This window comes from Homo sapiens, chromosome 4 (genome assembly GCF_000001405.40).
Source record: "Homo sapiens chromosome 4, GRCh38.p14 Primary Assembly".
Lineage (NCBI taxonomy): Eukaryota > Metazoa > Chordata > Mammalia > Primates > Hominidae > Homo > Homo sapiens.
The window spans coordinates 5,662,286-5,676,497 of NC_000004.12; the positions used below are offsets into that span (position 1 = coordinate 5,662,286).

A 14,212-nucleotide genomic window follows, 5' to 3' on the forward strand; every position below is an offset into this window, starting at 1 on the left:
ATGAGTACTAGACTTAATACCTGGATGATGAAATAATCTGTACAACAAACCCCCTGTGACACGAGTTTACCTATATAACAAACCTACACGCATATCCCTAAACTTAAAAGTTAAAAATAAATAAAAAAATTGTTATTAGTTCAATAGTTTATTGAATAAACTAATTATTCAATAATTATTATTAATATAATATTAAATATAATATTAATATTAAATATATTAAATATAATATTAATATTAAATATATTAAATATAATATTAATATTAAATATATTAAATATAATATATATTTATATTAATCATATTTATTTTAATTATATTTAAATATATTTAGATTAATTATATTAAAATATAATATATTAATTATATTTATATTGATATTAAATATAAATATAATATTAAATATAATTATTAAAATAATAATTATTCAATAATTATCCAATAATTATTGAAATAATTAGTTCAATGCCACCTCCTCCAGGAAGCATTTCTGTGACTTTCTCAGAAGTAATTACTTCCTCTTCTGTGCTCTGCCGGCCCTGACCTTCCCATTTGCATGGTGGTCACCCAATTCTGTGGTCACTTCTGTTTATGTTTCAGTCTTTCCTACTAGATCAGACTTCCTTAGAGCAGGAAGTATGTCATCTACACCTCTTTTCCTAGATGCCAAACATTCAGTGCATAGCAGTTGTTGAATTATGACTACAGAGTGACAAATGATTAACTGAATGAATGAAATATACTCAGCATTTGGCCTTATGTCACTGTCGTTAAAACATTCATCACATGTGTGTAAGTATAATGGGATTTAGAATTCTTACTCTTCTAAGGCTTGAAGCATGCTCCCAGGGTCCTCGGAAGACAGAATGTCTATCATTTGGTCGTTAAGGGAAAGGTCCTCATTCACGCCATCAGCTGAGGTGAACGGCAAGGGTTCCAGCTTGCTCTCATACTGCCAAACCTTCAGGAGAATTGCGGAAATAATAATTGATTGGGCCTTCTTGTGAATTCCACGTGCTGAGAAAGCCAGGAGGGAAGGCCAGGGGTCTGCAGTCTGAGCACCCAATCAGCCCCACCACTGTGACCACAGTAAACCCAGACAAGCTTTTGCGAATGTCCCTGAGCCTCTGTTTTCTCTGCAAAGAAATGGGATCATAATTCTACTAGCCCTGCATGAGGATGTTGTGTGGGTAAAGTGGAACAATGGACAGAAAGAACTTTTCAGCCTGTAAGACCTATAAACTATTTAACTATCATCATCTTTATCATTATCAGGTAGAGGAAACCTCAAAACAGGTATGATGGACCTTGACATCAGAGATCTGGCTAGTTTCTAATCGGAATATAGGATTGAGTGGGGCGTGGTGGCTCACGCCTGTAATCCCAGCACTTTGGGAGGCTGAGGTGGATGGATCACTTGAGGTTAGGAGTTTGACACCAGCCTGGCCAACACGGTGAAACCCTGTCTCTACTAAAAATACAAAAATTAGCCAGGCGTGGTGGCAGGCACCTGTAATCCCAGCTACTCAGGAGGCTAAGGCAGGAGAACCACTTGAACCCAGGAGACGGAAGCTGCAGTGAGCCGAGATTGCGCCACTGCACTCCATCCTGGGAGACAGAGTGAGACTCTGTCTCAAAAAAATAAAGAAAGAAAGAAAGAATATAGGATTGTGAGCTGGAAGTGACATTAGAGATAAATAAGCCCAACCCTCTGATTGGATAAGAGATATCTGTGTTGTCTCCAATATCATTAACTCTGCAAAAATGCATAGCTATAGCTAACCTTTAACAATTCTTGTCCCTGTGCCAGGTATTATTTTCAGTGCTTTCTTTGTGTTATCATGAAGCTGTTACAACAACGCAGTGTTGGTGCCCCCATTTTACAAATAGGAAAACTGAGGCTCACAGAAGTGAAATAACGTTATTGAAGGTCACACAGCTCAGAAGAGCCCGGTTGATTTTTAACCCCAATCCAACTCTGAAGGCTGCCTTCTGCTTTAGAGCAGACCACTGACCACCACTATGCTGGCAAAAAAATAAAGAAAAATGTGAGAAGAGTTCATTCTGTGATGCCAGGAAAAAAGTACTGCAAGGGTCTTCACGCCTTAAATCAAATTCATACTCTTGCTTTCCTCTGTGCAGTTCTTATGATCTGCCTTAATCTCTGGAAAATGAATCCTGCTCCGACATCAAAGCAGCAGGGTGCGTTTAGTTCTTCTGATTGATAACAGCTTTGGGAGAATCAGTACAAGGTCTGATTAGATGGGACGTTTTTCTTCTCACTTTTGCCCGCCAAGGAGACTGTGGGCTGACCTCATTTTGAAATGACAATCCTCTCCTCCAAGAAGCAGGGACAAAATGAACAACAGGCTCCTCACCCAGGCTGGGGTGGAATTTCCAGCCTCCAGAGCCCCTGGGCAGGACTAAGCCCCAGGGCAGGACTAAGCCCATCAGGGCCCAGGTCCCTGATGAAACACACCCTTTACCAGACACCTTCCCTTTCTGCCTCACTTCCCACCACCTCCCCTTTTGTCCTGGGATCACTTCCCACATAAGCTACTTGAATGGGAATTCTAGTCTCAGGTAATGGGCTGCGTGTGGGTGATGGGGTACGTGTGGGTGATGGGGTGCGTGTGGGTGACGGGCTGCGTGTGGGTGATGGGGTGTGTGTGGGTGATGGGGTGCGTGTGGGTGACAGGATGCATGTGGGGTGACGGGATGCGTGTGGGTGACGGGATGCGTGTGGGTGATGGGATGCCCGTGGGTAATGGGATGCATGTGGGTGACAGGCTGCGTGTGGGTGATGGGCTTTGTATGGGGTAATGGCTGCAGTGGTTCTCCCACCTGGTTGCTGCTTAGAAGTTTTAAAAATGACTAAACCAGGCATGTTGGTGTGTAGCTGCAGTCCCAGCTACCTGGAAGGCTGAAGCAGGAGGACTGCTTAAGCCCAGGAGTTCCAAGTTGTAACGTTCTGTGATTGTGCCTAGGAATCGCCACTGGACTCAGCCTGCACAGCACAGCAAGACCCTGGCTCTTAAGAAAAAAAAAGAATGATGGGGATGCATCCCAGGACAAACAGCAGTTTTGGAGGTGGGCCCTGGGCATGGGTTTTTGTGCACAGCTCCCTCAGCAATGCTGATGGGGATCCAGGGCTGAGACCCACAGAACTGGGGGATGAACTTCAACCTCACATTCACCACCTTCCAAACCACCCTCAGGGAAGACTCACCCGATGTCTGGTGAGCATGTTTCCCTTCAGACACTGATAGCGAACCATGAGGAAGAGGGCAGCCCAGGTCAGCACAAGGGAGAGGAGGAAGGCAATGAAGAACCCTGCTGCGTGGAGGCCGTGGTGCGGCAGAACCTGTGGAGACAAGAGGAGAGCAGGATTCATGTGTGGTCAGACAGCATGTCTCCCAGGCCTCACAGATGATTGAGTGTCAGAGCAGACCAAGCAGGGACCAGGGGACTCGCTTGCATTTGAGTCTCGCTCTGCCAGCTACCAGCTGGCTGCCTGGAGGCCCTCGCTGGTCCTCTCTGAGCCTGAACTTCCTCAGTGCATGACAAGCCTGTCAAAGACCTGAGGCATGGTGATTTGCACACAATAGCACCATCCAGCCGCACGCCTAGCACATCACAGACACTCAAGAATGTTAAGTTTCCAAATCAAAAACATGATAATCCAAAGGAAGCACTAGGGATCCGTGACATTTTCTGAGAATCACAGGTAGAATTTTGCAGAGGCCAGAGGAAGAACCCATGGCACCCTCACCTTCCCGCTACCCTCTATTAACTTTAGATTAAATAATTAAACCCCAATTTTTACGGTATTATATTTAGAGAAAATCTCTTGTCTTCTGACTGGTGAGATTAGTGGGCCACATTTACCCCCGCCCCTCCTTCCCTGCTTCTGCCTTCTAGCATTTTTTAGGTTTATAGCATATATATTTTGTTCTGCAACCAGAATTCAATCCTGATTATTGTTTATAGGTTAATCCCAGCAACTACAAATTTTAAAAGACAATATTATTATGATTAGGCAAAATTTGCTCACTGCAGAGTAAAGTAATTGGATCCAATCCTGTGACACTAAATATCTGCTCCTCAAAGGAGTGTGTTCCTAATTCAGTCCCTTTTCTCACACTTTATCAATTATTCCAAATCAGGCTACATTTTTAGTTTGCTTCAGTGTGAATTAGCACTTCCTTGTGTGACTTTTTGTTTTTCCTGAAGTTTTTCATGGCCTATCTTTTTTCTTCCTAGCATACACCCATGTTCTTAATAATACTATCTGTTACAGAGAGTCAAATTTACTTTTTCTTAAAGTCATCATTCCCAGAGTTCTCTGACTTTCTGATTTAATCAGACCTGGCTACTTTCTAGGTTTTCTGGTATCATAGAGAGCTTTTTCTTTTTCTCCACTGCCTTCTATATTGTCACAGCATTACTCATTGAAGAAAAACTGTTTCTTGGATCCCATTTCTTCCTTTTTCTTGGATAATTCTTTTTTATTTTGATGAAGTATCCTAAGTATCTATTTATTCTCAAGTAAGTTCGTTTGGAGAAGATGCTCTTTTCTCACATCTGGCAATGCTGTCACTTAGTTCTCAGTTTGACTGATAGTATGGCTGGCTACATAATTCATGGCTAAAATAACTTTCCCTCAAGATGTTGATGGTGCCATTCTACTGTCTTCTGACAGAAGTGTGCCTGATGGCCTTTTAGAAGAATCTGTTTTTGTTTTCTGGGTGCTTTTTAAGATTTCTCCCTTTTCCCTATAGTTCTGAATATCTTAGCATTTTAAAGAAGATATTTGAATACATTTCTAATAATATATAAAAAGTCTTATATAGTAATGTAACTTTGCAAAGAAATACACACAGTATAATCTCCATTTCACTAAAATAAAAATAATGTGCATATATACATATGCATGTGTAAATTATAAAGAAAATCCTCCAGAATTTTATTTGAATGTAATTTCTTGATGAGGTTTTTCACCTTCTTTATGCTTGTTTTCTAATATTTCTACAATGAGTAGGTATTATTTGTGTAATAAGAGATAATAATAATTATTATTATTACTACTATTATGATGATGATTATAAAAAAAGTAAGGCAAATTTGATAGATGAAAATCACCCAGACTGCTGAGGGTTTGTCAACCCAAATCACAATTCAACTTCTTCCTGTTTTCAATCCTGCTCCTTTCTTTTTCCTTTCATAGGGGGTCACTGATTGTACCAAGGGTCCCCAAGGCCACCTGCATACAATCCCACTCACAGGTATGGTTTATTACAGCAAAAAGACACAAAGCAAAGTCAGAAAAGGGAAGAATGGAGTAAAGCCCAAGGAAAACCAGGCACATGCTTCCAGACTCCAGCGGAGTCACAAAAGATGTGCTTAATTCCCCCAGAGAGGGGTTGTGACAACTCATGTGAAATGTATTCTACTAGGGAAGCTCATTAGGGACTCAGTGTCCAGGGTTTTTATTCGAGGCTGATCACATAGGCACCCTGTGCCTGGCATGTACCAAAATTTCATACTCCAAGAAAAACAGCAGGTAATCAGCATAAACTATACTACATGTAAAAAACAGTTCAGGCACAGGGAGCCACTCTTAGCAGTTTTAAGAAGATGGGAATCCTGAAATCCAAGTTTCCAGACACCAGCCCAGGATCAATCTTGTAAGCAAGCTTTTCTAAGGATAGCAGCCTTCGGTTTGATATGCTAACTCTTCTCTGCACAATGGAAAGCATATTATACCCCAAACTCTGCATCAGCATCTGTCTCCAGAAAAGCCAACCTGTGACAATTAGTTTAATTCAAAATGGCTCCAGACCATGGGATACCGAATGTATTATTTAGGAGCTAGAAGACAACTAGCCTATTCCTCATTCTTGCAGCCACAGTGCAGATTGTAGTCAAGGTTACATTTTTTCTGACAGACCAATGAGGCCACCCTGACCTTCTAGACTGTCAAAGCTAAGTTAGGTCAAAAACAGGAGCTTCAGTTCAAATGCTTATTGAAACCTGAATCAAAGTGTGATGCCACTTATAACTCATCTTTGATAAATCAGCCTCTGTCCACAAAGGCTGTTATCAGAGACTGTCAGAGAACCAATTCTGTTTTCTTGCTCTAACATCCTCTTGATCCTAAATCTTGAATTTTGATTAACACTAAAATGAAATCCAAGTACTCCATTTGTTCTGGACATGTCCCTCTGCTCCCTGAGCCCTGAGTGTGTACCTACTAGACAAGAAAAAAATCGATAAGCTGAATAAACGTAAATAGCATTGCATGGAGGTTATGTCAAAATATTGATGGAAAGGAAACTAAAAAAAATCTGTCTGTAAAACAACACAGTAGCTAAAGATCAGCAATCTGTTTTCAAGATTTTTAATCCCCTTTATCTTCAAAGAAGGCAACAACTTGTTTTTTCATCTTCGAGAAGAGGGAATGAGAGGTAAAGGGGATTAACAATTTTGATCACCAACAAAACGCCAATCTCTGGGCTAGGTAAATGTAGTGAGTTGAGTTGAGTTGTGCCCTCCAAAAAGACATGTTGAAGTCCTAACCCCAATACCTATGAATGTGACTTTATTTAGAAATTGTCTTTGCAGATGTAGACAAGTTAAGATGAGGTCATACTGGGTCACAGTGAGTCCTAAATCCAATGATCGTGTCTTCATGAGGAGAGGGAGATTTGTAGACACACACAGAAAAGATGGCCATGTGAAGATGGAGGCAGATACTGAGTGATGCAGCTATAAGCCAAGGATTTCAAGGAATGCTAAGGATTTCTGAGCCACCAGAAGCTAAGAAGAGGCAAAGGAAGATGCTTCTCCAGGGTCTTTATAAACAGCATGGCCCTGCCTGCCTACACCTTAATTTCAGACTTCCAGCCTGCAGAACTGTGAGAAAATTAAATTGTTGTATTAAGGTACCAAGCTTGTGGAGATTTGTTATGGCAGCCTGAGGACACTAACACAATGCTTCATATACTTTATTTCATTCAATCTTCTGTAATCCTGTGGAACACGTATCATCCCTGTTCTACTGATAGACAAATGGAGATGCAAAGAGATTAAAAAATTAATTGATGTCCACAGCTAAAACAAAATTAGCTCTGCTGGACTCCAATGTCTACGTTTGTCCCACTAGAGCTGGACACTACTTACTGTCCAGGGGGCTGTATGTTTTTCTAAAATGTTTTTAGTCCTAATCTCCCACACCATGGTAGAAGTTAGTTGTATGACTGACATTACATATGGGCAGCATCACTCTACCGTAAAAGCCAGGAAAAGAACTCTCTCGTATGTTCCTTCTCCCCTTCTGTCTCCCTGCCTCCCTCCCTCCTGCTTCATGAAGTGGAAGTGGACAGGTGAGTCAGGCTACCTCAAATCTCTTCCTCTTTCCACTTCCACCTTCTAAATCCACATCTTGAGATCTTACTTTCCTTTGGCCACAAGGGCATTGCCAAGAGAAACTGAAGAGTAGAGGTACTGTGGGCAGTTTAGTGGAGCAGGGTCTAGATCAATGCTTAAAGTAGCAACACAGTTGTGGGAATGGAAGCCTGGACCTAGGAAGAGGGAAAAACCAGGGCCAGTTCTGCAGATCCCATCACCTGTCACCCCCTTCTCTTACAATTCCTGCTTTCTGACACCAAGTAACAAGCAAACCTAGGTAGAGCCTACCTCCATGGGGCAAACCCACTCATGACCCTCATTTTCTTCATTTATCTGTGTTGTTAAATTATGCTAGGTCCTGCCCTGCCTACAATGCCTCTACTCTTCAATCTTCTTCCTCAGTGAAGAATGACCAAAGAAGAGTAAGATCTCAATATGTAATTTTATGAGAAGAAGGAGGCTCCATATAATCACTACCATCACTATCATCATCACCAACATTAATATTACCACCATGATTATCAACATCATCAATATCCCCATCATAACTATCTTTACCATCACCATCATGATCAACATCTTCATTAACACCATCATGATCACCATCAGCAGCAGCATCACCATCAAATTCATCATCACCATCACCACAATGACTGTCACCACCACCATCACCACCATCATTATCAACATCATCAATATCTCCATCATTTTCATCTTTACCATCACCATCAACACCATTATGATCAATATCAGCAGGATCACCATCAAATTCATCATCACCATCCCCACCATCACCATCACCACCATCACCATCGCCACCACGATTATCAACATCATCAATATCCCCATCACCATCATCTTCACATTGGCCATCACCACCATCACTATCAACATCATCAATATCACCATCACCATCATCTTCACCATCACCATCACTACCATCATTGTCAACATTATCAATATGCCAATCACCTTCACCATGGCCATCACCACCATCATTATCAACATCATCAATATCTCCATCACCATCATCTTCACCATCACCATCAACGCCATCATCAGCAGCATCGCCATCAAATTCATTATCACCATCACCACCATGACCACCACCACCATTACCATAGCCACCATCACTATCAACATCATCAATATCCCCATCACCACCATCATTATCAACATCATCAATATCCCCATCACCATCATCTTCACCATGACCATCACAATCACTATAAACATCATCAATATCACCATCACCATCATCTTCACGCCCACCACCATCAACACCATCATGACACCATCAGCGGCAGCAACACCATTACCACTGTCATTTCACAGAACATGTATTATGCAGATACTAAGCACCAGGGATGGATCCAAGTGCTTTACATGTATTAATCCATTTAATCTCCACAACAATACTCTGTGATGGGAACTATTTTAACCACCACTTTATAAATTATAATGTCATTGTAGAAAAAAGTTTTTAAAATGGCCCAAGGTCACAGATAGAGTAAGTAGTAGACCCAAGACTCACATCCAGCAGTTGGGGCTAGTGGCCTTCATACCCCCGCTGCCTCTCCTAGGCTGGCCCTTTATCAGGAGCCCTGCATCGAGCCATCAAGGGTTTGTGCCCCTGTTAACACTTTCATTCCCACTCTGAGTATGCAGCTCACCTTTTGGGGGTGAGGGAGTAGCAGCAGGGCAGGATTTTGGAACTCCTGAGTCTCTGGCCAAAAGCCTTCCTAATCCCTTCAAACTTTAATTTTGTCCACAGACCAGGCTTTATTCCCTTTTTAATATTTCAAACAATACTTTATTTATTTATTTATTTTTGAGATAGAGTCTTGCTCTTGTTGCCCAGGCTGGAGTGCAATGGCACAATCTCGGCTCACTGCAACCTCCACCTCCTGGGTTCAAGCGATTCTCCTGCCTCAGCCTTCCAAGTAGCTGGGATTACAGGCGCCTGCCACCATGCCCAGCTAATTTTTGTACTTTTTGTAGAGACGGGGTTTCACCATGTTGGCCAGGCTTGTCTTAAACTCCTGACCTCGTGCTCTGCCCACCTCGGCCTCCCAAAGTGTTGGGATTACAGACGTCAGCCACTGCGCCTGGCCTCAAACAATATTTTAAGTGCAGAATTCTTACATCCATTTCACATGTGAAGAAACCAAGGTTTGCTATAATTTGTTTGCCTGAAACGCTCTATTTAAGTGGATACATCAAGTGGGCTGCCAGGTTTGACCCCGTGTTTGGATGTGACACTACACTTTCCTGATGTTAATTCACTGAGTCACTGGAGCCCTGTACTAGGTGCTGGAAGAACGAGGAGGAACCAGAGCCAGGCCCTACTCAAGGAGCTCACAGTCCTACAGAGGAATGAACAGGCAGGCAGATGCTGATGCCACAGTGTGCCTGGGCTGAGGCTGGGGAGCCTGGAGAACTGGGGGAGGGAGGGGAGCTCCTCTCCTAGCTCAAAGGACAGGATAAGGCTTTCCAAGAGGTGATCCAGTGGGCAGAGGAGAACGAGCTGGGCCAGGGGGAGGGCGAGCCTGGAGAAGGACTGGCCTGAACAAGGCCTGAAGCCGGCAAGAGAAGCAGCCCCAGCCTGACAGAGCCTTCGAGAGCAGGTTAGGGATTTGCTGTGTCATCCTAAGGGAATCAGGGGAACAACTAAGAGGCTTTAAGCCATGAAGAAACATGGTTAGATCAGTATTTTAGAAAGACAACTCTGGCCGCTGTATGACTTCAGCCTGGAGGAAGGTAAATCTGGATGCCAAGGGAGAAATAGGGGGCATGAAAAGAGGCTGCAGGAGGCAACGGGACACGCCAGCAAGGACCGTGGACTTTGGCTTTTGATGGGGGTTCAACTCTTAGATCCACCCCTTTCCACACTGTGGGAGGCTGGGTCTCCCCAGCTCTGAGAGGCAATAGGTTAAAAATAGAATTACCATACAACCGAGCAATTTCACCCCCAAGCATATACCCCAAATAATTTAAAACAGGTATTCGAACAAAAATCTGTACTCGAATGCTCACAGCAGCACTGTTTACAATAAGCCAAACGTCCTGATGAATAAAGAACATGTGTATATCCATATAATGGACTATTATTCAGCCACAAAAAGGAATGAAGTTCTGGTGCATGCTACAACATGGAGGAACACTGAAAACTTGATGCTAAGTGAAAGACGCCAGACACAAAAGGACACGTACTGTGTGATTCCACTTATCTGAAATGTACAGGGTCGGCAAATCCAGAGACAGAAGCAGATGAGTGGTTTGCCAGGGGCTGGGGGAGAAGGAAATGGGAAGTCACCAATGGGTACCAAGTTTCCTTTCGGAGTGGGGAAAATGTTCTGTAAGCAGACAGTGGTGATGGCTGCACAACACCTATTGACTGTAGTAACTGTCAATAACAGTAAATGTTAGGCTGTGTATACTTTACCACACACACAGAAACAGTGCCTAATGTTTAGGGTTATGGTACACAGAAGTCAGAAAATCTGAGCCGCTATTGCTACTACTGTTGTTGGCTGGTGGGAAGGGCACAGATCAGGAGACACAGTCAACAGAGTGTTGTGATGGAATGTATATGTAAGAAGCCAGACACAGGAGGAGCCAACAATGTCCCTGAATCCAGCTCGGGGGACAGGATGCTGGTGGGACCCACCGCTGCAGTGATGAGTTCAGAACCAGAAGTGGCTGAGAGCACCAGAATCAGCCCCACGTAAATCATACTTCTGAGATTCCCTTAAACATGCTGCAGCCAAGTTCCACTGAGAATCACTGTAAGTACAGATTCCAAAGAGCATCTTTACCTTAAACCTCATTGTCTAAGAATAAAGAAAAAGAGATGGTTATCCCGGCTTCCCCCCCAGAGTCCTCCTCACTTTCCTTCTTGTCTCTGGAAAAGAATCATCCACGATTACCACCCTTTAATCACATATTAGCAGGAGCAGATGCCTTTGATGCATTCTGTCACTGCATTTATGAAGAGCGATGCTGGATAAACAGGCCTTTCAAAACGAATGCTTTAAATGCTCAGAATCCAACACCAAGTTACAAAAGCATGATGAAGAATTGTTTACAGAGTTTGACTTCATTATGTACTAAATATATTCACAGTCTTGTGGATGGCGAGATGTGAACATGTTAGCAATGGTTCTCCCTGCTGGTGGGATTACGGCATGAAGCTATTTTATTCTTCCAACTTTTCTGCACGTGGAGGGTGGTGGTAAGAAGAGGACATTTCTTCAAAATGCCCACAGTGGCCTTATATTAAATCCCACCCACCCAACCCTTCGAAACACAGAAAATGCTTGATGAACATGGGAGATGAGACGAATGTTTCCTCCGGAACAGTCTAAGAATCATTTACTTGAAATCTTTTACTTTGAGCTTGAGACCCAAGAAACAGAGGGGTGAGTGGCTTGCTGGCCCTTGTCACACAGTCCCTGAGGGGCAGCCCTGAGGGCAAAGAGACCCTTGGCCTCCCAGCTGACAATTGGGGCAAGAGTGAGATCTCGAAGATAATCACAGGCAGAGACAATCACACTTACCAACGCAGCTTTGCTAATTTCCCAATCTAGCAAATAGCATCTGGAGTAGAGAACACATCACACAGCATGATTCTGACTGCAATGATGTTGAGTTCTGAACCTGGCCAGTTCCCAGAGCCTCCCTGGACAAGAGGTTTTTAAAATGAGAAAGTGGGACTAGATAATCTTTAAGGTCTCTTCCAGTTCAACAATTCTATTCTGATGTCAACAAAAAGGTATTAAGTGCCATCCAGAGGAATACTCTCAACTTCACACAGTGCCAGGCTTTAATAAATGATCCAATGCATAGGACCCCAGCCAAGGGCACAACTAGCTGGCCAGGGGAGGGCTCGGGCATCACAGCGTGCAGATGCTGGTCAGGGTCCAGCAGGAGGTTTACAAGTTGCCCAAAGAACAGGTAAGCTAAGAACAGGATGTGCAAAACCAGAGCGTAATGGAAAACAAAGGCGCCCAGTGGCCCCGAGAGATGGTTAGCAGGGGTTAACTTTCCTGATGGATCCTGAATGGAGGCCCCTCAAGAATAGAAAGCATTCAGGTTTGCATTTTAGGGAAGACCACCCCAGCGTGGACAATGGGCTGGGTAGGGAGTAAAACTGGAGGCAGAAAGGATAGGATGCTGGGGCAGTAATGAAAACAAGAAATGCAGATTAGGGCAATGGTCAGTGGGCTTCGAATGTCCACGGAGAAGGCAAAAATGATAACGTGCAATTGTGTACAAGCCCCCAGGCATACAAATGCAACTCACAGCCACGTGATTTTGCCTACAGAGTGACACGGGCCGCCACTGTGCTTCAAGGGCACCTCCTAAGCCTCGTCTTTGGGAAATTCTCACATCATAGATAGCTACCTATTGTGGCATTCCATCTCTTATAAATTAAGATGCTCTTTACATATTAAAAACATTAATCTTTTGTCTCTTATGTATATTACAAATATTTCCCCAAGTTTCTCACTTATCTGAGTGCTGTTTTTAAAGTTTGCAACTATGTGTACCTAAATCCAGTTTTCTCCAGATCACATCCTAGTAGCCCATATTTACTTTTTACTAATTGCTATATTTAGATTTTAATCTAATTAGGAAATTCATCTTTGTCTTTATTTCAAAAGACCCAGTCAGTTGTTACCAAATTCATGCATGATACATCCTCCTCCTCCCGTTGGTTTAAAACATATTGATAGATGTGTGTGTAGATTTTATCTTTTGTTCCATTGGTCTGATGTTTCTCGTAGCAGTCAAATGCTGCATTAATGTAGCTTTGTAATATTTTTAATATCTGCTAGGGTAAACCCTCCCACATTACTCTTCATTTTCAAAACCTTCCCATCTGGGTTCATAATTTATATTTTCAGATGAAACTATGATTTTTTTTCACATCCCCTCTAAAGTCCCATTAAAATTAGTATTGGAGCCTGGGTGCGGTGGCTCATGCCTGTAATCCCAGCACTTTGGGAGGCTGAGGTGGGTGGATCACCTGAGGTCCGGAGTTCAAGACCAGCCTGACCAACATGGTGAAACTCCATCTCTACTAATAATACAAAATTAGCTGGGCCTGGTGGTGGGTGCCTGTAATCCCAGCTACTCAGGAGGCCGAGGCAGGAGAATTGCTTGAACCCAGGAGGCAGAGGTTGCCGTGAGCCGAGATCGCGCCATTGCACTTCAGCCTGGGCAACAAGAGCAAAACTCCATCTTAAGAACAACAAAAACAAAATTAGTATTGGAATTGCACTCTAAATGAATTGGGGTACCATAACAATTGGTTTAAATGTCTCTCTCTGATTAGACCTGAGATCCTGGCAGCAGAACACTGTGATCTGTTCTCCTGGTGCCCGGCACAGTACCCAGCCCTTTCATGGGCACATGTGATGAACACAGAAGGGGATATCTAGTGCCATCTGAGACCTGCACTCAATGTGTGATTCTTATCTTCTCTCAAAAAGACAGTACTCTCATCCAGGAGACAGAAAGGGGAAGACAACTTCTTGAGAAAAAATGAGAAACAATTTCTTGGGGCCTCATTTTCCTTGGCTGACATGTGTCAGTTTCACCCTCAGGAAAGTAACAGGAAATTAAGGAGACAATGGGGTAGCTCCCAAATGTGGCAGAATCTCTATTTACACAATGGAAGCCTCACATCTTTACCTTGTATTTTTAAACTGCCTGATGCAAATGTCAGGGGTGCTGCCACCCTCCTGGCAAACTCATCCTATTCATCGCCATCACACCTGTCTGGTGTAATCCCACT

The 14,212-nt window shown here is 43.1% G+C and overlaps 1 protein-coding gene across 7 annotated transcripts in view, besides 1 other annotated feature; it reads right to left on the reverse strand.

Moving 5' to 3' along the window:
- Nucleotides 1-14,212, reverse strand: part of EVC2 (EvC ciliary complex subunit 2) — a 180,538-nt gene that overhangs the window by 133,275 nt on the left and 33,051 nt on the right. For all 7 annotated transcript variants that reach the window (XM_047449611.1, NM_001166136.2, XM_017007736.2 and 4 more), the window contains 2 exons: nucleotides 3,230-3,364; nucleotides 822-961 (listed from right to left, as the gene is read on the reverse strand). In XM_047449611.1, coding sequence (XP_047305567.1) covers nucleotides 822-961; nucleotides 3,230-3,364 — 275 coding nt within the window. The remainder of the gene's footprint in view (nucleotides 1-821; nucleotides 962-3,229; nucleotides 3,365-14,212) is intronic.
- Nucleotides 2,057-3,256: an enhancer, noted in NCBI's record as "BRD4-independent group 4 enhancer chr4:5666069-5667268 (GRCh37/hg19 assembly coordinates)". NCBI's record gives its function as "activates an origin of replication core promoter dependent on BRD2, P300/CBP, MED14 and CDK7 cofactors, and independent of BRD4, by STARR-seq in HCT116 cells {active_cell/tissue: HCT116}" and the evidence as "EXISTENCE:reporter gene assay evidence [ECO:0000049][PMID:35650434]".